We start from the raw sequence: 26682 nt of genomic DNA on the forward strand, positions 1-26682 counted from the left end.
CACAGTTCATTGTTTTTCCATGTGAATGTCCAGTTGACCCACACCACAGGGTAAAGAAAATCCTTTCCCCCCTATCTTGCAGTGGTGTTGTTATAAATTAGAGCACTGTATATGTGTGGGTATGTTTCTAAACTCTCTGCTCAATTGCTGTATTCACATATCTTTATGTCTTAACTGGCAAAAGTTTGTGCTGATACCATACTGACTTACTTGCTGCTGTAATTTTATAGTAAGTTTGCCATTTGGTAGTATAATTATTTCAACTTTGTTTTTTTTTTTTTTTTTTGTCAGTATTGTCTTGGCTATTCTGGGCCCTTTGCATTTCATATAAAGTATAGACTCATCAATTTCCACAAAACAATTTGTCAAATTTTGATTGGAACTGCATTAAATATTTGGGTCAATTTGGGGAGAACAGACATCTTTATAACATTGAATCTTTGTGTCTAGGAATATGGCATGTTTCTCTACTTACATAGTTCTTTAAGTCTTTAATTTTTCTTAGTAATGTTTCATGGTTTTCTGTGTAGAAGTCTTGTACATCTTTTTCCTAGGTATCGGATGTTTTTTGATGCTAACGTAAATGGTATGTTTAAAATTTCATTTTTCTCTTCCTGTCCTAATGTTAAGACTATCAACAGGGACTTCATCATCAAAGATGAACGCCCACATCAGTAGTATTCTTTAGTCTTGAGTTAAGGAGCTTCATTTAAAAGTCTACTGTTAAAAGACTCAAATTAAGTCTGAATTCCACTTAGAAATAATTTAATGATACAGCTGGTGTTTCATTATTTTTAAAGAATCAGATTTAAATTCCCCCTTTGGAAGCACTGGGAAGAGGGGGATTCAAAGAAGTCTATCTAGGTGAGGAAGGAAAGAGTCTCCTGGGCAGAACTCATCCTAAGGGAGCTGGAGCCAGACTGGACCCAGCTGAGCCCGTAACAAAACCCTGAGGGAGGGAGGGTAGATGGTGTCGGTCACTCACTTGCCTTCTAGCCTGGGTGCCCATGGACTCATAGCTCATCTCAGTCCTTTGGAGGATGGTATAAGAAGGGAGGGCTGCAAGTAAAAATGTAAAGAACTTTTAGGAATTGTGTTAGGGTTCTCCCGAGAGACAGAACCAATAGGATAGATCTAGATCTATAGATATATGAGAGGGGGTTTATTAGGGAATTGGCTCACTGGATTCTGGAGGCTGAGAAGCCCCTCAATAGGGTGCATCTGCAAGCGGGAGCCCCTGGGATGCTGGTAGTGTGGCTCAGTCCAAGTCTGAAAGCCCTAGAACTAGGGAAGCTGATGGTGTACTTCTCAAACTGAAGTCAAAGGCCCAAGAACCTAGGGGGCTGCTGGTGTAAGTCCTGGAGTCCCAAGGCCAGAGAGCCGGGAGTTCTGATGACTGAGGGCAGGAGTAGGAGAGTGTCCCAGCTCCAGGAGAGAGGAAATCCTTTTCTCTCCTTTTTTTGTTCTATCTGGGCCCCCAGCCAGTTGGATGGTGCCCGCCCACATTGAGGGTGGGTCTTCCCCACTCAGTCCACTGACTCACACACCAGTCTCCTGTGGAAACCCTGGCAGACACACCCAGAAACAGTGCTTCACCAGTTCTCTATTCCTTAATCCAGTCAAGTTGGCACCTAAAATTAACCATCACAGTGGTAATTTCAGAAAACACTGGACATAAGCTGTACCTGCCTTTGATGTCATATTACAAAGAGGGCATTGTCCCTTACCTTGTAATAAACCCCCATTGCTTTGGCAACTTATGGCAGGACCACCAGAGGTGTCCCCATGGCCAGTAGGAGTGAAGGTAGTAGAAATAATAGCTGGCATTTATTCAGTGCCTGCTCTGCTTTAGGCACTATTCTAAGTACTTTATAAATATTAACCCATTTAATCATCACAAGCACCTCCACAAGGTAGGCTAGAGGTTAGTTAATGAAAATAATAACATTATTATTGTTTTTACAAGGGTAGAAACTAAGGCACAGAGGGGCTACATAATTTGCCCAGGGTCACACAGCTCGTCAAGGGCAAAGCCAGGATTCCAACCTAAGCTGGCAGTCACTAGAGCCCATGCTGTTAACATTATATAGTCTTTCAAGTGGCAGCAGCAGATGGGGGCTGGAGGAGGAGAAAATGGATAAACTCAGCCAGGCATGGTGGCGGATGCCTGCAGTCCCAGCTGCTTGGGAGGCTGAAGTGGGAGGATTGCTTGAGCCCAGGAGGTTGAGGCTGCAATGAGCTGTGATCGTGCCACTGTACTCCAGCCTGGACGACAGAGCAAGATCCTGTCTCCCAAAAAACACACAAAAAAAATCAGAAATAAACTGGAGATCCTCACAGAGCATCTTGATAGATAGCTGACTGTACTTGCTTTTGAGTACCTGTGAGATGTCCCTTGAGGACTGTCAGAATTATCTTGGAATGGAAGTGGGGCTACTTTGGAAGAGGCTGGGGTTAAATTAGCAATTAAAGTCAAGAAAAATGGAACAGGGGAGGTAATTATAATTTGATCTTTAGATCAGATTCAGACTTAAGAAACATTACATTCATTGATGTTTTCAAGTTTGTCACCTTAAAGTTTTCTTGGAGTAAGTGGGATCATGACTTCTGATCTGTTCTTTCTCTGAGGTGACAGGCACATCTATATTTAGACCAATAGTCATGCGTCCATGGTGATGGATCAGTGTGTGCCTCCCAAAATGGCCGTGCAGTGCAATCCCACGTGTATCGTTATGAACAGATAAATCACCAGCACTGCACATTTCATGTACCCACACCAGAGGGACTTCTGTACGCATTTACTTATTCAGCAGATAAACTCATATTTATGCTAGGACCATAGATAGCCACTTGGGCAAGTATCCATGAGCTCATGCAAGCAAGCCAACTCAGATTCAGTCACCTCACAGGCAGAGTGAATTTAGAGCTCCAGAGGCCTCGTGCCTGCCTGAGAGCTATTCATTTCCATGAAGAATGTCACAATTTCTCCCACTGACACGAATCAGAAGCTGGGATTCTTTTTTTTTTTTTTTTTTTTGAGATGGAGTTTCGTTCTTTTTGCCCAGGCTGGAGTGCAATGGCATGATCTTGGCTCACTGCAACCTCCGCCTCTCAGGTTCAAGTGATTCTCCTGCCTCAGCCTCCCAAGTAGCTGGGATTACAGGTGCCTGCCACCATGACCGGCTAATTTTTTGTATTTTTAGTAGAGATGGGGTTTCACCATATTGGCCAGGATGGTCTCGATCTCTTGACCTTGTGATCCGCCTGCCTCGGCCTCCCAAAGTGCTGGGATTACAGGTGTGAGCCACCGCACCCGGCCAGAAACTGGGATTCTCTTTAACCCCATCCATTCTTTCACCTCCCGCATCTCCTGTGTCACTAAACTCTATTGATCCTACCCTTTTCATAGCTTTTAATCTGTCTCCTCTCTTCCATCTCCATTGCCACTAATAGTTTGGGTTTACATCTTTTTATTCTACCTGGATTAGACAGTAGCCTCCTAAATGTTTTGTTCCTTTCTCTAATTTGTTGCCGTCACTGCTACCAAAATTACTATTATTTTTTTCCAAGAGAGGGGGTCTTGCCGTGTCACCCAGGCTGGAGTGCAGTGGGGCAATCATAGCTCACTGCTGGCTTGAATTCCCAGGCTCAAGTGATCCTCCCACCTCAGCCTCCTGAGCTGGGACTACAGGCACACACCACCACCCCCGGCTACAAAATTTTCTTTATAAAGCATGAAACCATTATGTCACTTCCCTACTTAAAACTATGTAAAATGATTTCAGTGGCCCTCATTGCTTACATGATAAAATCTAATGTCCAGGTACTGGTCTGCATGGCTTCTTAAGAACTGGCCAATACCTGTCTTTGGAGGCCCAGTCTCCCTCAAGTCCCTCACCTGTGGCTCCAGTCACACCAGACCTCTTGGGGCTTCTGGAACCTGTGGCCTGCTTTCAGTTGTGGATATTTGCTGAATGGATTCTTCCATTCATCCAAACCATCCATTCATTCTTTCAACACACACACACACGTATATATACACATACACACATTATACACGCACACACACACACACACACGCACACACATACATATATGTATATATTATTGGGAAGCCCCCTGAGCCAGAATAGGTTCAGAGACTCCCTCAACAAATATTTTTTGAGCACTTGCTATATGCAAGACACTTCAAGGTGCTAGAAATATGCAGTGAACAAGACACAAAATCTTTACTTCCATGGAGCTTATATTCTTATAAGCTTACACAAACTTATATTCTAGTCTTGTATTGTGTCTCCTAGGGAAGACCAGCAAAAAGAAATAAATAAACAGGAAATGCATCAAAAAGAAAGAAACAGGAAATGTATCAGGTGGTGTGACGGTATGATGGTATGACGTGCTAGGCAGAGAATTAAAGAAGGACCACATGACATAGTGCGTGGGAAGACCCTGTCTACTGAATGGCCAGGGAGGGCCTCTCTCAGGGGTACCCTTGAGGCTGAGATCTGAATGAACTACTCTCGTGAAGATCAGGGTAAAGAGCATTCCAGGCAGAGGGAACAGATAATACAAAGGACTTAGGGTAAGAACGAACTGACTTTTAGAATAAACACCCTGGTTAGCTAAAGCCAAGGCATTAAAAGGACACAATGAAGAAAATGCCTCTAAGGGAGATAGAACCGAAGGGAGATCATAGCTGGTTGTGGAGCCAAAGGTAAATTATTCTTTAAGATGTACTAGATACTTATTGGCAGCTGCTAATAGCAAAATAAAAAAGGTCCTGTTGTTCACAACTGAGGCACAAAAGTACTTAGGAATGTAGGGAGCAGACACCCCCTCCACATTTCACTTGGAGCCATGCGGTCTGTGTCAAGATGGCCTGTGTGAAGAGCCACCAGTTATAGTTCATGTGGGTTTCCATTATTCTTTGGGCCTTCACTTTGCCCAAGGCACACAGTTAATATAACCACAAGAATGTGAACACTTTTATTTGTTCTGAAATATGCTTTTAACCTTTACAGTGGGAAAGGCCCTTAATTTATCTATTCCTTATTATTTTCCAGCCTCATATTTTCTATTTCCTTTCTGTGCTCCCTGAAAAACAAGATGCCATGTCTAAAATCCTGTGTGCCTTTGTGCAGGGCAAAGCCATGTCCTCGTGCACAGTCATGGGGTATGGCCGAGGGTTATGTAACAAGAGCTGTTCCTAGTGCAGTTGGCTCCTGCAGGAGACCATGATGTGGCAACTACAAAGCTCATCGCAGGTAGGCTGAGCATGAACTTGTCAAGCAAGAGCCGTGGCTCGGGGCAGCCTCTTGGTCAGCTTTGTTCTGACTCAGAATTATTCCCTTGAAATGCTTGGTTTGGGTTCAAAAGACCCAAGAGTTCTGTTTCATAGAGGGGTGCTCCTGCCAGAGTCATGATGTACTAGAGATCCATACTTTTTTTCTCTCCCCAGTGGGTGGGTAGATATTGGAAACTAGATCTGTTCTGATAAAAGTGTTCCCATTCTTGTGGTTATGTTAACCGAATAGCTTGGTCACACCAAGGCTGTGTCTAGACAATGTAATAGAGCCTGCTATGGCACAATGATCTAGTTTTGTTTTTCATTTAATTATGTTCCTGGTTATTCTTGTGAGTATTGACTATCTAGAAAACTTATTCACCCATATGCCATATTTTAGGATTGAAAGGAATTTTGGACCTCTAAACTTTTCAGACAAGGCAACTGAGGCCCAGAATGATTAGATCTTTGGCCCAGGGGAAGAAAATAGGTTGGTGTCAGCTGGCTTTAACAGTCTTGGCTCCCTGACTTCCAGAACAGTTCTATCCCCAGTCAGATTGCTTCTGGTTCGTAAAGTGGGGTAGCAAAGTGGTGACCCGATGACTTCTTTTAAGCTAATAGTCCATATTTAAAAATTGACAGATTACACATAGGAATCTGGACTTCTGGTTTCTCTTCAAAGACTTGGATCCACACTTCTGAAAAACAGATGGTTGGCGTTCATAGTGGCTTCTGCTTCTATACAGGTTATGTGCTTTTCAAATTACCAGAGTCGCCACGCTTTCCTATTGCCTCCCAGATACTGAGGTTGACTGTCAGCTGCCACTTGTATTTATTTTTACTTTTGAAATTCCTCCATGTTGCACTATTATTTTTCTAATAGTAGAATTAAGACGAAAGTGAACTATTTCCTTTACCAATGTCTTTTTTTTTTTTTTTAAGATGGAGTCTCACTCTGTTGCCTAGGCTGGTGTGCGGTGGCGCGATCTCGGTTCACTGCAACCTTCGCCTCCCGGGTTCAAGTGATTCTCCTGCCTCAGCCTCCCAAGTAGCTGGGATTATAGGCGCGTACCACCATGCCCGGCTAATTTTTGTATTTTTAGTAGGGACAGGGTTTCACCATGTTGGGCAGGCTGGTCTCAAACTCCTGACCTCAAGTGATCCACCCACTTCAGCCTTACAAAGTGCTGGGATTATAGGTGTGAGCCACTGTGCCTAGCAAAGTGGGCTGTATTTCAAGAAGAAATGGATATTTTAAAAAGTAAAGTGTTGGCCGGGCACGGTGGCTCACACCTGTAATCCCAGCACTTTGGGAGGCCAAGGTGGGCGGATCACAAGGTCAGGAGATTGAGACCATCCTGGCTAACACGGTGAAACCCCGTCTCTACTAAAAATACAAAAACATTAGCCAGGTGTGGTGATGGGCACCTGTAGTCCCAGCTACTCGGGAGGCTGAGGCAGGAGAATGGCATGAACCTGGGAGGCAGAGCTTGCAGTGAGCCGAGATCGCGCCACTGCACTCCAGCCTGGGCAACAGAGCGAAACTCTGTCTCAAAAAAAAAAAAAAAAAAAAAGGGTTTCAGGGCCAAAAGAAGATAGCTTAAGATTATGGCCAGGTGCGGTGGCTCGTGCCTGTAATCCCAGCACTTTGGGAGGCTGAGGCGGGCAGATGATCTGAGGTCAGAAGTTCAAGACCAGCCTGACCAATATGGAGAAACCCCGTCTCTACTAAAAATACAAAATTAGCCGGTTTTGGTGGCGCATGCCTGTAATCCCAGCTACTCGGGAAGGCTGAGGCAGGAGAATCACTTGAACCCAGGAGGCAGAGGTTGCAGTGAGCTGAGATCACGCCATTGCACTCCAGCCTGGGCAACAGAAAGAGACTCCATCTCAAAAAAAAATTATATGTATTATATACACATATAATATATATATTGTGTGTATATATATTTTTATTTTAGAGAGACAGTCTGTCTCTGTCATCCAGGCTGGAGTGCAGTGGTGTGATCATGGCTCACTGCAGCCTCGACTTCCTGGGCTCAACCCATCTTCCAGTCCTTCCAGCTTCGCCCTCCTGAGTAGCTGGGTCCACAGACATGAGCCACCATGCCTGGCCATTTTTTCTTTTTTCTTTTTTTTTGTAGAAACGGTTTCTCACAGTGTTGCCCAGGCTGGTCTTGAACTCCTAGGCTCAAGTGATCCTCCCACTTTGGCCTCCCAAAGTGTTGGGGTTACAGACGTGAGCCACTCTACCTGGCTTCATGATACTATGAAACAAATCTATTTGGCACCTGTAGTCACTGGAAGTTGCAACTCTTATGCTAAGTTCTAACACCATAATCAGAAGAACTTTGGATATTTCACTGTGAGGTTGTTGCATGCCTTTGACAAGGTGGGATTTTTTTTTTTTTTAATTTTTAGAGATGGGTTCTTGTTATATTGCCCAGACTGGAATGCAGAGTGCAGGCTATTCATAGGCATGATCAAAGTGTACTACAGCCTCAAAATTGTGGGATCAAGCCATCCTTCTGCCTCAGCCTCCTTCATGGCTGGGACTACAGGTGCCCTGCTACCTTTGACAAGTTTTGAAAGATTTTCATAGCATTGAGGGGAGAAGAAAAGTGAAACAAAGAGAAGAAATGGGACCCTTCTTTATCCTCCCTCCCCTCAACAGAACTATTAAAACCCGAGATCAGTTTGTTTAGACACTAGTCATATTGTCCAAAAGATTGCGCATTAAGAATCTCTGTCTTAACTTTAGGCAGAATTATCTTGAACTGTTCTAGTAGGATGGTAATCATGACAGCACAGCTACTGGGGAAATTAGAACTGAGGTTTCCTCTCTTCCGTTTGCTGAAATAACAGCAAAACTGCTTGAAGAAAACGCACTATATTATTCTAAGAAGTAAATTACAAATAAGCAACACCCAAAATGTCCCTTACTCATGGTTCCTTGAGTAAAAGGTGCTATGCTTTATCTACCCAATATTGTGAGTAGTATCATTTACAGGCTCATTTCTACTAGTAAGTTTTTTTTTTTTTTTTTCAGATCTCTGCTTCTAGCTGTCCTTCCACTCTATCAACTAATATTTCTTTTGCAAAGCTAGGAGGCTTGGTAAGGTTAAAAATAATTCAACTATATTGTGTTGAACATAATTGAAATGTCATAAACCATCCAGAGAGCAGGAGAACCAGTTCTCTCTTGTTTCTATTGGTGTAGTCTGTTTACATTTCTGGTCCCGTCCCTGAAGCTTGGACTGAGAGACCTGGTGAGGAATGTTTCCTCTGTAGTTTCGACAGGCACAGCTATTTGTCACTGCCTCAGAAGCTGCGTGGCTGCAGGTGAGGAAGGCTGCCCTTATGGGAGGGATAATTATGGTCAGTGACCTGTCTGAGCTTGGCCTCACTCTGCACCCAAGCTCGTGACTGGCTCAGAAAGTCTTCTGCTTCTGTGTTCACATCAATGATTTCCTTCCTTGCTTTCTAGAAGAGAATCGGCCTCTGGTACTGGTGAAGAGACCGGAGATTTTCAGTTAGGCATTTTACCTGGCTGAGTGCAGGGCTTGGAGGTGGAGTCGCTTGTGGAAGGATTAACTAGAGGGAGGAGTCACTGTCATTAGGATACCATACACATGGCAAAACCAAATATAACCACCCACCTCCTCTGACTCACCTACTTAAAGCATGAATAACCTGGAGGGGGTGGTGGCAAGCAGGTACAGAGATGCTCCTTGACTTTCAGTAGGTTTGTATCTCAATAAACCCATTGTAAGTAGAAAATATTGTAAGTCGAAAATGCATTTAATCCACCTAACCTACAGAACTTCATAGCTTAGCCTAGCCTACCTTAAACGTGCTCAGAACACTACAGTAGCCTACAGTTGGGCAAAATCATCTAACACAAAGCCTATTATATAATAATGTCGAATATTATGTAATTGAATACTGTACAGAAAGTAAAAAAACAGAATGGTTGTATGGGTACTCAAAGTATGGTTTCTACTGAATGTGTATTGCTTTCACACCATCATAAAGTTGAAAAATTGTAAGCTGAACCATCATAGGTCAGGGACCATCTGTATTTGAATGAGTGAGGTGGGGGCCTGAATCCACCCTCCTCCTCCTCTCACCACCCCATCCTCAGGATACACATAGACCAGTGAAGTCTGTCTTGGCCTTGTGAAACCCTTACCATCTGAATGGCCTAATGAAGTAGAACTTGTGACTGATAGGAAGACTTTGGAGAGGTTTGGAATGTTCTTTGACTTACCAGGAATCTAGTAGACCCAGGATTATCCAAATGTCACCAAACAGTGAGTTCAGTGCCCAGAGGGGAGGCCCATTATTAACCCTTCCTTGAGGTAGACACACCCAGTGTAGATGAGGGTGATGCTGGGTGGTCCCTGCCCAAGGCTTAGTCTGACCCTACTCAGGAAGGGGATATAATAGGAATAGCATTATGAGAGGTTCTTTCTGTTCTGTACCCCTTATGTGTTATAAGATAATGGAGGAAAATCTCAGTTGCCAAACCTGTGTCGGCCACATTAAAGCAACAGTTACTATATCAGTCATGGTAAATGAATGGTGGTCCAGGTATAAACATTGTTTTACCCCTTGATATTTTTATATGAAGCATTTGGCTTGAACCTTATGTTTGAAACATCAAACATAGTGTATTGTCATATTGAATATGAATACTACCAGTGTTTTAATAATAACTGACATTATATTTGTGGCACCACAGGTGTATCATTTTAAATTCTCTATATATAGCATTTAAAGTGTATAGTGACTAAAGTAATTACTGTTGCTTCATGTGGTGAATATGGGATGTGCCAGTTTAGCAGATGTGGTTACTCAACTCACATAAAAAGGTCACCTTAATCTGTCAGAAATCGTGGAAGTCACATCTCAAGTAGGATTGAAACATGCATAATATGGTCCATGAAGAGGGCACTCTTTTCTTCCCTGCTCCCCTCTCCTCACACCACCTCCTGCTTCTTTTCACAAGCTCTGCATTGTTCTGCATAGCAACGTTCCATCCACAAAAAGCTCCAGTGTGTAGGGGGTCTGAATCCTGTCTGATCCCTTCCCTAGCCCCATAGCTCAGACATGAGATGTGGTCCAGGGAGCAGCCTAGACAAGTGCCAATGGGACATGTAAAGATTCCCCTTTCTTTTCTTTCTTTAAGTGTTTTTTGGAGACAGGGTCTCACTTTGTTGCCTGGGCTGGAGTGCGGTGGTGCAGTCACGGCTCACAGTAGCCTGGACCTCCCGGGCTCGAGCCATCCTCCCACCTCAGCTTCCCAAGCAGTTGGGACAATAAGTGCGTGCCACCACACCCAGCTAATTTTTGTATTTTTTGTAGAGATAGGATTGTACCGTGTTGCTCAGGCTGGTCTCAAACCCCTGGCCTCATGAGATCCTCCCACCTCGGCCTCCGAAAGTGCCGGGATTACAGGCATGAGCCACTGTGCCCGGCCAAAGATTCCCCCTGTCTTTTTGACACTCTTCAGCTGTGCCCTCCCAGGGAAGACATTAGCTCACTCTGCAGCCACTTGTGCCATTCTCGTGCCCTCCTTGCACAAGGCCTTGTCGTAACTGCTTCACTCTCCTGGTCTGCCAGTGCAGGTATCAGTGATCCAAGAAGATACAGGAAGAGGCTTGTGTGGGAGTCGCCTGGAGCCCTCCATGGTATGTTGGCTCTACAAGAGCTAGGCATGTGGTGCCAGGGCGTGGGAGCAGCAAGGCCACCCCGCTCAGGCCTCTGCCCTGGAGGAAGGGTGGTGTAACTGCCCCTGGACGACAGCCTGGATGTGGCGAGGGGAGACGGTCCACACCCTGCTCTCAAGCATGGAGGTCGAATGTTTCTAGGTCAGCAGCTCAGGACAGCAGGCAGGTCAGGCCTGGTAGAGGAAGTGCATGTGAGGAGTCAGTGGGAAGTGAGTAAGAGATGGTGGTGGTAAACTAGGAGGTGCTCCTACAAACAGAATTGGATTTTCCCTTTTAAAACAAGGATGGCCGTAGCTGAGCCCTCCTCTCTCTCTCTGTGTGTGTGTGTGTGTGTGTGTGTGTGTGTGTGTGTGTGTGTCCGTGTCCTCTTCTGTTCTCCGCCCCTACTGAAGGAAGGAGATAGCTCTGGCTTCCAAAAGTAGCCTTGCAGCTGTAGGAGGACTGACTCTGCCTAGCCTTTACATTTCCCATGTAAAATTTAACAGTGCTTTCACAGAGCTTCTCTAAAGATCAAAGGGTACCCAACTGAATGGGAATCTGTGGTCTGGGGATTTTTTTTTTTTTTTTTTTTTTGTCTGTAGCTTCCCTTCCTCCCTCCCTGCAACACTAAGTAGACGAAATATTGGGCCAAAGGGCCAAGGAATCCTGTTAAGGGAGGAATCTCGCGGTCTCATTTCCAGCCAGGCACTTTTCTGTTCTTGTAACTTTCCAGTCGTAATTTGGGGATTACTGTTGATAACTCTGACACCTGGTGGTCATTTCAAAAACTGCACTCTGGAAGAATTAAACGTTCACTTTTATCATTTTTAGTTGTTTTTCCACCTCCAATGTCAGTGTCAATAATATGCATTTTATAAATTAGTGATTATTGTTAGTTGAATGATCTATAAGTAAAATCCTTGCACATGCATTCAACAGAATACACTAGGATAGAAAATTTCTGAAAGGTATACCAGAAGCTATACATGGTGGTCCCTAGAGAGTGCAGCTAGGTGTGGGGAGGAAGCAGACTTATTTTACTTTATGCCAGTTAGTGCCCTTTGAAATGGTCTTAAACAGAAATAGTGTATTACTGTAATAATTATAGTGAAGTACTGCACTTGGGCAGGATATTCCCTTCCAGGGCTCCTACCCTCTCCTGATTTTGCATCCAGGGACGTCCTCTGTGCTTTTGAATGTATTAAGGAGTGACGTACGGCTGGATTCACTCTGATCTCATTCACTGACAGTGGTGGGAGAGCCCAGAGCTGAGTAGAAACTGGTTCTGGGGCATCGTGTGGCTAGGGTGCCAAAGCCGAGAAAGGTCCCGTAGTCCCTGTGTGGTCAGCAGGGAAGGCAGCAGTGCTCTGTCAGTATTGATTCTTCAGGGGCAGGCTGCCCACTTACCAAAGTTATGCTTAGCAGAGGGGCTCTGGCTCACTCCCCGTCCCTCATCCTACCAGGTGTGAGGCTGCCAGGAGCCGATCGCACAAGGCTTGGCAAGGCAGATGCTCCCCAGCTCCTGACATCAGAGAGAAGGGCTGGGATTGTGGCCTGCGGTTGGTGGGCAGGAGAGCCTGGTCTGATGACAGCAACCACCCTTTGACTACCTTCTCTGTGGCTGTTACTGTCTGATTCCAACCTTCCACTGTTGAACAGACCTCCTACCACTTTCCTACTACTCCCCCTAATGATAACATACTGAACTCACTTTTATGAATTTGTTGAGACCTTACCACTTTTCAAGTGTGTGTTCAGGAACAGCAAACTTTTGTCTTGCTTGGATCCACCCACATACCCAAATCACCATGGGTATCAGACACACTGGGTAGCTGAGTGCTCAGAGGAAGATGCGAGGTATTCAGGGAAAGTGTCAGTGGGGTCTCCCAGTGCCTGTTTGGTCCACAGTTAGGAGAGGCCCTGCTTGCACTTCTAATACAGTCCCGGAAAGACGGGGCCAGAACTTAGGAGGGGAGCGCTTTGCAGCAACTTTTCAAGAAAAGGGGAAAATTTAAGCACCATACTGTTATGTGGTCCTTGTACCCAGAGGCCCTGTTCAGCTCCAGTGATCAGCTCTCTTAGGGCACACCCTCCAAGGTGCCTAAATGCCATCCCAGGATTGGTTCCAGTGTCTATTATCTGTTTGACTCCAAATGGCCAAACACCTGACTTCCTCTCTGGTAGCCTGGCTTTTATCTTCTAGGACATCCAGGGCCCCTCTCTTTGCCTTCCCCTCTTTCTTCCTTCTACTGCTTAGATCAAGTCTTCAGCAGACATCATGTGACCTTGAGGATGGATGTCACATGCTGGAGGAAACAGAAGGCCGAAACCCTGATGACTTCACAGAGCTGCCAAAACAGTTCCTGACTGTTTATTCCGGGTCTTTAACAAAGTGATGAAAAGAAATCCTTGCAGTATGAAAACAACTTTTCTATTCCATGGAGCCAAACCTCATTATAACAGATAACGTGACCCTCAGCGATATCCCAAGTATTTTCCTGTTCTCATCTATACTATGGCAAAGGGGCAAATACCTCTCAGTAAAGAAAGAAATAACAACTTCTATCTTGGGCGAGGCATTTCTTCTGTTAGAACTTTGTACACGGAATAAAATAGATCTGTTTGTGCTTATCTTTCTCCTTAGAATTATTGAATTTGAAGTCTTTCCCAGGGTGGGGGTGGAGTGAAGCTGGGGTTTCATAAGCACATAGATAGTAGTGTCTCTTAGCTTCCGTTTAAATATGGGGGTAGCGATGTGGAGGGCCCAGAAGTATCAGAGAGGAGAGACAGGCTGCTCTGATTGCCTTTGTAAAATGCACATTTGAGCTTGTGCAAAGCCCTGGGCCTGAGCTCAGAAAAAGCAAGGCCAGGAATGAGGCTCTTGGTTCAGTTCCCCTGCACACCCTGGGCGGGGAGGGGTTGTTAGAGTCATGGAACCCCTATTTTTTTTTTTTTTTTGACCGGGTCTTGCTTGGTCACCCAGCCAGAGTGCAGAGGTATGTGCACAGCTCACTGCAGCCTCAACTTCCTGGGCTCAAGCGATCTTCCTGCCTCAGCCCCCAGAGTTGCTGGAGCTACAGCCCCATGCCACTACACCTGTCTAACTTTTGTACTTTTTGTAGAGACAGGGTTTTGTCATATCGCCCAGGCTGCTCTCGAACTCCTGAGCTTAAGACCAGGTTGCTCAAGTGATCCACCCACGTCGGCCTCCCAGGGTGCTAGGATTACAGGCATGATCTACCCCTCCTGGTTTATCTTTCTTAAGCTTGGAGTCATCTTTTTAAAACAGCCACAATGAGGTATAATTGATATACAATACACTGCTTATATTTAAAGTGGATAATTTGATAAGTTTTGCCATATGTTTACATCTGTGAAACTGTCACCACAATCAACAGGGGGATCATATCCATCACCCACAAAAGTTTTCTTAGGCCTCTTCCCCCTGAGAAAACCCTCTCTCTGGCAGCCACTGAACTGCTTTCTGTCCCTGCAGATTCGTTTGCATTTTCTTAAGTTTTATATAAATGGAATCATAGAGTACGTGCTCTTCTTTTGTCTGTCTTCTTTCACGCAGCATAATTATTTTTTAGATTCTTGTGTCTTGTGTGTGTCAATTCTTTTCTTTTTATTGATGAATAACATTCCATTGTATGGATATACCACATCTGTACAGTTTGTTTAATCCATTCACCTGTCGATGGACATTTGGATCACTTCCAATATTTGGCTATTAAAATAAAGCTACTCTGAACATTTGTGTATGTGCCTTTGTGTTATTCTTGGGTATATATCCAGCAGTAGAATGCTAGATCATGTGGTAGGTTTTTTGGGTTTTTTTTTTTTTAGATATGTGGTCTCATTTGGTCACCCAGGCTGGAGTGCAATTGCGTGACTATGGCTCACTATGGCCTTAAACTCCTGGGCACAAACAGTCCTCCCACCTCAGCCTCCTGAGTAGCTGTGAGTAGCCGGGATTATAGGCGAGAGCCACTGCATCCAGCCAGTTGTTTTTATTATGACTTTACCCTTAATTCATTGTATATTTTATTTAAATTTAATTTTTTCTTTTTTTTTTTTTGAGATGGAGTCTCACTCTGTCACCCAGCCTGGAGTGCAGTGGGGCGAGCTCAGCTCACTGCAACCTCCACCTCCTGGGTTCAAGAAATTCTTGTGCGTTGGCTTCCCGAGTAGCTGGGACTACAGGCGCCCACCACCACACCCAGCTAATTTTTATATTTTTAGTAGAGACGGGGTTTTTCCATGTTGGCCAAGCTGGTTTCGAACACGTGACCTCAAGTGACCCACCCACCTTTGCCTCCCAAAGTGCTTGGATTACAGGCATGAGCCACTGTGCCTGGCCTCCATTGTATATTTTAAACAAAGGATGTTTAATACAGACTTATTTTTGATGCATTATACATTTTAAACAACATGAGTTTATAGCCAGTATGGCTTTTACTCCCCTTTCTTTAAGGGGAGATAAGCATACCAGTATTCTATAGAATAGTATCAGCACACAAGGCACACTTGCTTCCCTTTGCTTACCTCTGATTTAAGATCATAACTAAAAGGAATTTATTGAACCTATGGACGTATGTATTTACTTCTGAGTATATATCTCTTCCTCACATGCATATACCTTACATAAATGATTTCTTCAGTTACCATAGTGATTTAAACAGTTTTAAAACATCTTTATTAAGATTTTAACATACTACAAAATTCACCCATTTAAAATGGACACAATTCATTGGTTTTTAGTAGATTAACAAAGTTGTGCAACAACCAGCACCACAATCTAAGTTTAGAATATTTCACCCCAAAAGAAAACCCATATCAATTAGCAGTCATTTCCCATTCTCTCCTCCATATGCCTCAGTTGTAGGCCACTAATCATGTACTTTCTTTTTCTATATATTTACTTATTCTGGACATATATAAATGGAGTCATACAGTATATAGTTTTTTGTGACTGGCTTCTTTCACTTAGCACAGTGTTTTCAATGTTCATCCACGTTGTAGCATTTATCAGTACTTCTTTCCTTTTTTTTAAAAAAAAGACTTTTACTTTTTAGAGCTGTTGTAGGTTCACAGCAAAATTGAGCTGAAAGTACAGGGTGTTCTCATATACACCCTGCCCTGCTCCATGTAAACCCTCCCCCATTATCACCATCCGCACCGTTGGTGTATTTGTTACCATCAATGAACCTACATTGACATCACTATCACTCAGTCCATAGTTTACAGTAGGGTTGGTTCACTCTTACCCTAATGTAGGGTTCATGTGGTGTCGTACATTCTATGGGTTTGGACAAACCTTTAATGATGACATGTATCCACCATCGTAGTGTTGTACAGAGTAGTTTCACTGCCCTAAAAATCCTGTTATGTTTAAATTTTTTTTGTTTTTTGAAACAGTCTTGCCCTGTCACCCAGGTTGGAGTGCAGTGGCCCCATCTTGGGTCACCGCAACTTCTGCCTCCCATGCTCAAGCGACTCTCCTGTCTCAGCCTCCTGAGTAGCTGGGATTACAGGCACCCACCACCACGCCTGGCTAATTTTTGTATTTTTAGTAGAGATGGGGTTTTGCCATGTTGGCCAGGCTGGTCTCGAAATCCTGGCCTCAAGCAATCCGCCCGCCTTGGCCTCCCAAAATGCTGGGATTACAGGTGTGAACCACTAGGTCTGGACCCAATTTTTTTTTTTTTTTTTTTTTGAGATAGGGTCTCATTCTGTCACCTGGCTGAAGGGTGGTGGTGTGATCACGGCTCACCAGAGCCTCGACCTCCCAGGCTCAGGTGATCCTCCCACCTCAGCCTCCTGAGTAGCTGGGTCTGCAGGCACGCACCACCACACCTGGCTAATTTTTTGTATTTTTATTGTAGACATGGGCTGGTCTCAAAACACCTAGGCTCAAGTGATATTCCTGCCTTGGTTTCCCAAAATATGTTTAACTTTTTTTTTTTTTTTTTTTTTTTTGAGACAGTCTTGCTCTGTCACCAGGCTGGAGTGCAGTGGCACAATCTTGGCTCACTGCAACCTGCACCTCCTGGGTTCAAGCAATTCTGCCTCAGCCTCCCGAGTAGCTGGGACTACAGGCGTGTGCCACCACACCCAGCTAATTTTTGTATTTTTAGTAGAGATGGGGTTTCATCATGTTGGCCAGGATGGTCTCGATCTCTTGACCTCGTGATCCACCCGCCTCGGCCTCCCAAAGTGTTGGGATTACAGGCGTGAGGCACTGTGCCTGGCCTGTTTAACTTTTTAAGAAGCTACCAAAATGTTTTACAAAGTGCTTGTACTGTTTTCCATTCCCAATGATGTGTGAGAGTCCGGTTTCTTCATATCCTTGCTGACTCTTGGGATGGTCAGTCTTTTGTTAAAATGTTTTGTTAAAAATCCTTTGGCCATTTAAAAAATTGTGTTGTTTTCTCGTTATTAATTTTTGGAGTTATTAGCATGAATACAAGTCTTTTTTTTTTTGAGGCGGAGCTTCACTCTTGTTGCCTAGGCTGGAGTGCAATCGCACGGTCTCTGCTCACAGCAACCTCTGCCTCCCAGGTTCAAGCGATGCTTTTGCCTCAGCCTCCCGAGTAGCTGGGGTTAGGCATGTGCCACCATGCCCGGCTAATTTTGTATTTTTTAATAGAAACGAGGTTTCTCCATGTTGGTTAGGCTGGTCTCGAACTCCCAACCTCAGATGATCCGCCTGCCTCAGCCTCCCAAAGTGCTGGGATTATTGGTGTGAGCCACCGTGCCCGGCCTGATACAAGTCTTTTATCAGATATGTGCTTTGTGATGATTTTTCTCCCAGCTTATGAATTGTCCTCATTTTTTTTTTTTTTTTTTTTTTTTTTTTTTTTTTTTAGAGGGAGTCTCGCTCTGTCGCCCAGGCTGGAGTGCAGTGGCATGATCTCAGTTTACTGCAACCTCTGCCTCCTGGGTTCAAGCCATTCTCCTGCCTCAGCCTCCCGAGTAGCTGGGACTACAGGCACATGCCACCACACCTGGCTAATTTTTGTGTTTTTAGTAGAGACGGGGTTTCACCATATTGGCCAGGCTTGTCTCGAACTCCCGATCTTGTGATCCGCCCACCTCAGCCTCCCAAAGTGCTGGGATTACAGGTGTGAGCCACCGCGCTCGACCTGGATTGTCTTCATTCTTTTCGGAGTATCTTTTGAAGAGCTTAACCTTTAAATTTTGATGGAGTTCACTTTATATTTATTTTTTATGGGTTATGCTCTTGGTGTCATGTCTAAGCAATCTTTGCCCCAAGGCCACAAAATTTTTCTCCAGTGTTTTCTTCTAGAAGTTTTATAGTTTTAGGTTATTCATTTAGGTCAATGCTCTATTTTGAATTGATTTTTTTTTTGAGATGGGGTCTCTATATGTTGCCCAGGCTGTTCTTAAATTCCTAGGCTCAAGGGATCCTCCTGCCTCAGCCTCCCAGGTAGCTGGGACTACAGGCATGTGCTACTGCACCCAGCTAGTTAGTTTAATTTTTGAATAGGTAATACTTTTCCGTGCCTGGCTTTAAGCTAATTTTTATGTATGGTGTGAGTTATGGATCAAAGTTCATTTCTTTCTTTTTTGCATGTGGATATCCAATTGTTCCAGAACTATTTCTTGAAAAAACTATCCTTTCTCCATTGGATTGCCTTGGCACCTTTGTAAAAAATTAGTTCTCCATTTATGTATGGATCTATTTCTGATTTCCATATTCTGTTCCATTTATCTATTTTCCTTATTTATACCAAACCACACTGTTTTGATTCCTGTAGCTTTTAAATAAATCTTGAAGTCAGGTAGCATAAGTCTTCCAGCTGTATTCTTCTTTTTTTTAAAGATTTTATTTCATTTTATTTTATTTAAAGACAGGGTCTTGCTCTATTGCCCAGGCTGAAGTGCAGTGGTGTGATCACAGCTCACTGCAGTCATTAATTCTTGGGCTCAAGTGATATTCTCACCTCAGCCTCCCGTGTAGCTGGGCCCACAGGTGTGTACCACTAGGCCCAGTTAATTTTTTGATTTTTTGTAGAAACAGTCTCACCATGTTGCCCAGGCTGGTCTGAAACTTCTGGACTTGAGCGACCCTCCCACTTTAGCCACCTAAAGTGCTGAGATTAGAGATGTAAGCTGAGGCACCCAGCCAAGATAGTTAGAATTATCTTTTTTTTTTTTTTTGAGACGGAGTTTCGCTCTTGTTGCCCAGGCTGGAGTGCAATGGCACAATCTTGGCTCACCGCAACCTCCACCTCCTGGATTCAAGCGATTCTCCTGCCTCAGCCTCCCAGGTAGCTGGGATTACAGGCATGCACCACCACACCTGACTGATTTTGTATTTTTAGTAGAGACGGGGTTTCTCCGTGTTGGTCAGGCTGGTCTCGAACTCCCGACCTCAGGTCATCTGCCCACCTTGGCCTCCCAAAGTGCTAGGATTACCGGTGTGACCCACCATGCCTGGCTGGTTAGAATTATCTTTAACTCATCACAGTCTACCTTCAAGTTATATTGTATCACTTCACACATAACATAAGTTTACAGGAGTCTACCTTTGTTTCCCTCCTCATAGCTTTTATGCTGTTGTTGTCATACGTTTTACTTACACATTTGTTATAAACCACAGTCTATACTATTATTTTTGCTTGAACAGCCAGTTTTCTTTTTTAGATGTTTTATTTTGAAATAATTATAAACGGGATATTGCAAATAAATGTATAGAAAGGTCCTGTGCATCCTTCACCCCTCCTCCCTCAATGTTGACATTTTGCATAACTACATACCGTATCAAAACCAGGAAATTGGGCGGGTGCTGTGGCTCACGCCTGTAACCACAGCACTTTGGGAGGCTGAGGCAGGCAGATCACCTGATGTCAGGAGTTTGAGACCAGCCTGGCCAACATAGTGAAACCCCATCTCCACTAAAAATACAAAAATGAGCCGGGCATGGTGTCGGGCACCTGTAATCTCAGCTACTCGGGAGGCTGAGGCAGGAGAATCGCTTGAGCCTGGGAGGCGGAGGTTGCAGTGAGCTGAGATCTCGCCATTGCACTCCAGCCTGGGTGATGAGAATGAAACTCCTTCTCAAAAAAACACAAAAAACGAAAAACAAAAACCCAGAAATTGGCATTAGTACAATCCACAGGGTTTAGTCAGATTTTACCAGTTACACATGCACTCATTTGTGTGTGTATGTAGTTCTATGCAGTTTTATCATACATGTAGCTTTGTGTAATTGCCACCACAATCAAGATACAGACCCATTTCATCACCATAAGCCTCCCTGATGCTTTTATAGTCACATCTACCTTCTTTCTCCCCAGTCCATAACCCCAGCAGCCATTCTTCTGTTCTCCATCTTTTAATATTGTTATTCAAATACATTACGTAAATGGAATCACTTATGTAGTGTCATACAGTCTGTAGCTTTTTAAAAAAATCAATCAGCATAATTCCCTTGAGAACCAGCCAAGGCCTAATTCTATCGTAGTTTTTTCCTTTATGTTGCAGAGTAGTATCTGTGGTATGGATGTACTACAGTTTCTTCAACCATTTATACATTGAAGGACATTTGGGTGGTATCTAGTTCTTGGCTATTATAAATAGAGTTGTTATCAACATTCATGTATAGATTGCAGAGCGCATATAGGTTTTCATTTGCCTGGGATAAATGCCCAAGGGTGCAATTGCTGGGTTGTATGGTAAGTGCACTTTTAGTTTTAAAAGAAAATGCCAAAATATTTTCCAGAGTAGCTATCCCATTCTACATTCCTGCCAGCCATGTAAGAGTGATCCAGTTTTTCCCATATCCTTGCCAGAATTTGACATTTTTTATTTTATCACTCTGTTAGGCATGTAGTGATAATGCATTGTGGTTTTAATTTAGATTGCCCTAATCACTGAGGTTGAACATCTTTTTATTAGCTTGTTACCTGTATCTACTCCTCAGTGAAATGTTTTTAGTACACTTGCTAATTATATTGTTTGCTTTTCTACTGTTGAGTTTTGGAAATTCTTTATATTCTAGATACTAAATCCTTTGTTGGATATTTGGCTTGCAAATATTTTCTCCCAGTCTGTAATTTATCTTTTCATTCTCTTGAGACAGGGTTTCACTCTGTTACCCATGCTGGAGTGCAGTGGTGTGATCATGGCTCATTGCAGCCTTGACCTCCTGGGCTCAAGTGATCATCCCACCCCAGCCTCTCACGTGGCTGGGACTACAGGTGTGTGCCACCATACCCAGCTAATTTTTTCTGTTTTTTGTAGAGACATTTCTTGAACTGCTGGAAATGTTGCTGAGGCTGATCTTGAACTGCTAGACTCAAGCCATCTGCCCACCTCTGCCTCCCAAAGTGCTGTGAATACAGGCGTGAGCCACTATGCCTGGCTCTTTTCATTCTCTTAACAGGAGCTTTCACAGAGCAAAATTTTCTAATTCTTAAGAGGTCCAATTTATCAAGTTTTCCTGGATCATAGTTTTTGTTTGTTTGTTTGTTTGTTTTTGTTTTGCTCTCATTGCCTAGGCTGGAGTGCAATAGTGCGATCTCAGCTCACTGCAACCTCTGCCTCCTGGGTTCAAGCAATTCTCCTGCCTCAGCCTCCTGAGTTGCTGGGATTACAGGCAGGTGCCACCAAGCCCGGCTAATTTTTGTATTTTTAGTAGAGACGGGGTTTCACCATATTGGCCAGGCTGGTCTCGAACTCCTGACCTCAGGTGATCCACTCACTTCGACCTCCCATATTGCTGGGATTACAGGCATGAGCCACTGCGCCTGGCTGGGATCATAGTTTTGATATCAAGTTGAAGTACTGTTCTCCCAGCCGTAGGTTTTGAAGATTTCCTCCTGTTTTTTTTTTTTCCAAAAGTTTCATAGTTTTACATGGTATGTTTAAATCAATGATTCATTTTAAGTTAATTTTTGTAAAAGGTATGAGGCTCTTCTTTTTTTTTCTTGGCCTACAGACTTTTTTTTTTTCTTCACCAATTGTTGAAAGGGCCGTCCTTCCTCTATTAAATCATGTTTGTACCTTTTTTCTTTAAAAAAATCAGTTGTACATTCTTTTGTGATTCTATTGTTTCCTCTATTATATTTCATTGATCTACATATTTATTCTTCCACCAGTACTCTACTGTCTTGATTACTGAAGTTATTTAGTAAGCCTTAACATTGGGTAGAATGATTCTTCTTACAACATTCTTCTTTTTCAAAATTGTCGTAACTATTTTAGGTCCTTTACCTTTCCATATAAATTTTAGAATAAGTTATTTATATCTATAAGAAGCCTTGCTGGAATTTGGATAGGAATTATGTAAATCAATTTGGGAAAAATTGATGTTTTTAGTGTTGAGTTTTCTAAGTCATAAACACAGTATTTCTATTTATTTAGGTCTTCTGTGATTTCTTTCATCAACATTTTGTAATTTTCAGCATACAGCTCTTATACATGTTTTGTTAGATTTATAACTAAGTATTTCATTTGCTTTGTAGCAATTGTAAATGGTATTGTGTTTTCAGCTTTGGTTTCTACATGTTTGTTGATTTTTGTGTGTTGATTCTGTGTCCAGTGACCTTCCTTATTAATTTTTAAAATTGCAGTTAAAAATAGATTTATTAGGATTTTCTGTGTAGATAATTGTCATCTACAAATAGGGACAATTTTATTTCTTTCTTTCCAATCTGTCTGCATTTATTGTTTTTCTTTCTTTATTGCATAGGCTAGAACTTTCAGTACTGTGTTGAATAAGAATGATGAGAGTACGTCTGTGGTAGGAGAAGGTGGGAGCATCACTTGAGGCCAGGAGTTAAAGGCTGCAGTGAACTATGATCATGCCACTGCCACTGCACTCCAGCCTGCGTGACAGAGTGAGACCCTGTCTCAAAAAAAAAAAAAAAAAAAGAAAGAATGGTGATGCCATGTTCCTGATATTAGGGGGAAAGCATTCAGTCTTTCAGTCTTTCACCACTAATTATGCTGTTACCTGTAGTTTTTTGGTAGATGCTCTCTATCAAGTTGAGTCAGTTCCTCTCTAATCCTAGTTTGTGAAACTTTTTTTTTTTTGTGCACGTGAATGGGAACTGGATTTTGTAAAATGCTTTTTCTATATCAATATGGTCATATGACTTTTCTTCTTTTTTATTTTATTTTATTTTTTAGACAGGGTCTTGTTCTGTCACTCAGGCTGGAGTTTAGTGGTGCAATCATGGCTCACTGCAGCCTTTACTTTCTGGCGTCAAGTGATCCTCCCACCTCAGCCTCTTGAGAAGCTGGAGCTTCAGGTGCATGCCACCATGCCCAGCTAATTTTTAATTTTTTTTGTAGAGACAGGATTTTGCTATATTTCCCAGGCTGGTCTTGAACTCCTGGACTCAAATGATCCTTCCACCTTGGCCTCCCAAACTGCTGGGATTACAGGTGTGAGCCACTCTGCCCAGCCTGATTTTTCTTCTTTAGCCTGTTGATATGATGGGTTATATTGACTGATTTTCAAATATTGAACTGGCCTTGCATACCTGTAATAAGTCCAACTTGGTTATGATGTATAATTTTAAAGAATTTTTTATTATTTATTTGTTTTATAGCGACAGAGTCTTGCTCTGTCACCCAGACTGGAGCGCAGTGGTGCAAATCATAGCTAATTGTAATCTCAAACTTCAGGCTCAAGCAATCCCTCCGCCTCAGCCTCCCAAGTAGCTGGGACCACAGGCATGTGCCATCATTCCTGGCTAATTCTTTTTTGATATTGCTGAATTTAATTTATTAATATTTTGTTGAGGACTCAATTATCTCTTAAAGAGACATAAATAATAGGAAAAACATCTTACATATTTTACCTGTGTGGTAACCATTTCTGACACTCTTCATTCCTTTGGTTAGATCAATATTTCCATGTGGTATCATTTTCCTTCTACTTTCAGGCCTTCCTTTAATATTTTTTAAAGTCTGGTAGTGATGAATTCTGCCAGATTTAAAAAAAATCTGAAAACATCTTTATTTTCATTTTTGAAATATGGTTTTTAAAAAACTGGGTGTATAATTTAAACTTGGCAGTTCTTTCTTTCAGTTATTCTTCTTCTTCTTTTTTTTTTTTGGAGACAGAGTCTCGCTTTGTTGCCCAGGCTGGAGTTCAGTGGCGCGATCTCGGCTCACTGCAAGCTCTGCTTCCCGGGTTCATGCCATTTTCCTGCCTCAGCCTCCTGAGTAGCTGGGATTACAGGCACCCGCCACCATGCCCGGCTAATTTTTTGTATTTTTAGTAGAGACGGGGTTTCACTGTGTTAGCCAGGATAGTCTCGATCTCCTGACCTTGTGAGCTACCTGCCTCGGCCTCCCGAAGTGTTGGGATTACAGGCATGAGCCACTGTGCCTGGCCTTTTTTTTTTTTTTTTTTAAGAGGTAGTGTCTCACTCTGTCACCCAGGATGGAGTGCAGTGGCACGATCGTAGCTCACTGCAGCCTTCTTGGACTCAAGTGGTTCTCCTGCCTCATCCTCTCAAGTACCTAGGGCTACAGGTGTGTGCCACCAGGCCCAGCTAATTTTGTAAAACTTTTTTTGTAGAGACAAGGGTCTCCTTGTCTGGCCCAGGCTGGTCTTCAGCTCCTGGCCTCAAGTGACCCTTCTGCCTCGGCCTTTCAAAGTGTTGGGATTACAGGTGTGAGCCACCACACCCAGCCCTCTTTCAGTTGTTATTGTTTTTTGTTTATTTGTAAAAATGGGATCTGCCTATGTTTTGAACTCTTGGGCTCAAGTGATCCTCCCACTTCGGTCTCCCAAAGCGCTGGGTTTACAGGCACAAGCCACCATGCCTGGCCATCTCTTTCAGTTCTTTAAAGATGTTGTTCCATTGTCTTCTTGCTTGCATTGTTTCTTTTTTGGGGGTACATAGTAGGTATGTATATTTATGGTGTACACGAGCTATTTTGATACAGACATACAATATGTAATAATCACATCAGGATAAATGAGATATCCATAACCTCAAGAATTTATCGTTTGTGTTACAAACAATCTAGTTGTACTCTTTTAATTATTTAAAAGTGTACAATTAAATTATTTTTTACTATAGTCACCTCGTTGTGCTAGCAAATACTAGGTTTTTTGTTTGTTTGTTTGTTTGTTTTAGATGAGGTCTTGTTCTGTTGCCCAGGCTGGAGTGCAGTGGCACAATCTCAGCTCACTGCAAGCTGGGTTCAAGTGATTCTCCTGCCTCAGCCTCCCGGGTAGCTGGGACTATAGGCATACGCCACCACATCCAGCTCATGTTTTATATTTTTAGTAGAGACAGGGTCAGGAGTTCGAGACCAGAACTCCTGACCTCATGTGATCTGCCCGCCTTGGCCTCCCAAGGTGCTGGGATTCCAGGCGTGAACCACAGTGCCTGGCAGAAATACTAGCTCTTATTCATTCATTCTATTTTTTTGTACCCATTAACCATCCCCTCTTCCTCCCCACTCCCCCACTACCCTTCCCAGCTTCTGGTAACCATCATTGTACGCTCTATCTCCATGAGTTCAGTTGTTTTAATCTTTAGCTCCTACAAATAAGTAAGAATACGCAAAGTTTGTCTTTCAGTGCCTAGCTTATTTCCTTAACATAACTACCTCCAGTTCTGTTCATGTTGTTGCAAATGACAGAATCTCATTCTCTCTTTTTTTTTTTTTTTGAGATGGAGTCTCGCTCTGTCACCCAGGCTGGAGTGCAGTGGCGTGATCTCGGCTCACCGCAACCTACGCCTCCTGGGTTCAAGCAGTTCTCTGCTGCAGCCTCCTAAGTAGCTGGGACTACGGGTACCTGCCACCATGCCTGGCTAATTTTTTTGTATTTTTAGTAGAGACGGGCTTTCACCATCTTGGCCAGGCTGGTCTTGAACTCCTGACCTCATGATCCACCGGCCTCGGCCTCCCAAAGTGCTGGGATTACAGGTGTGAGCCACCGTGCCCGGCCTCTCATTCTTTTTTTTATAGCTGAATAGTACTCCATTGTGTATATGTACCACATTTTCTTTATCCATTCATTTGTTCATAGACACTTAGGTTGCTTCCAAATCTTGGCTATTGTCAATAGTGCTGCAGTAAACATGGAAGTGCAGATATCTCTTCGATATACTGATTTCCTTTTTTTGGGAGGGTGGGTATTTCCCTAGCAATGGGATGTCTGGATCATATGATAGCTCTATTTTTGTTTTTTTGAGGAACCTCCAAATTGTTCTTCATAGTGGTTGTACTAATTTACATTCCCACCAGCAGTGTATAAGGATTCCCTTTTCTCTACATCCTCACCAGCATTTGTTATTGCCTGTCTTTTGCATAAAAACCATTTAAAATGAAGTGATATCACATTTTCTATATGATAATAGAAGTCATTATATAAAAAAGATACTTGCACATGCATGTTTATAGCAGCACAATTCACAATTTCAAAAATATGGAACCTGCCCAAATGTCCATTAATCTATAAGTGGATAAAGAAAACATGGTATATATGTATACATCATGGAATACTACTCAGCCATAAAAAGGAGAGAAATAATGACATTCGCAGCAACCTGGATGGAATTGGAAATTATTATTCTAAGTGAAGTAACTCAGGAATGGAAAACCAAACATTATATATTCTTACTAATATGTGGGAGCTAAGCTATCAGGACGCAAAGGCATAAGAATGATACATTGGACTTTGGG

The 26682-nt window shown here is 43.0% G+C and overlaps 1 protein-coding gene across 13 annotated transcripts in view; it reads left to right on the plus strand.

Moving 5' to 3' along the window:
• CNIH3 (cornichon family AMPA receptor auxiliary protein 3) overlaps window positions 1-26682 on the plus strand; it is a 305915-nt gene that overhangs the window by 11305 nt on the left and 267928 nt on the right. For 2 of the 13 annotated variants that reach the window (NR_136291.2, NM_001322302.2), the window contains exon 2: window positions 8334-8399. The exons of 10 other annotated variants lie outside the window; for them this stretch is intronic. Coding sequence is in view for 1 of the 3 variants with exons in the window: in NM_001322302.2 (NP_001309231.1) it covers window positions 8334-8399 (66 nt within the window). In the remaining 2 variants the exon portion in view is untranslated. Of the gene's footprint in view, window positions 1-5926; window positions 6031-8333; window positions 8400-26682 lie in introns of all 13 variants that reach the window. One more of the 13 variants, NR_136293.2, reaches the window with a different exon arrangement.

Source organism: Homo sapiens, chromosome 1 (genome assembly GCF_000001405.40).
Source record: "Homo sapiens chromosome 1, GRCh38.p14 Primary Assembly".
NCBI lineage: Eukaryota > Metazoa > Chordata > Mammalia > Primates > Hominidae > Homo > Homo sapiens.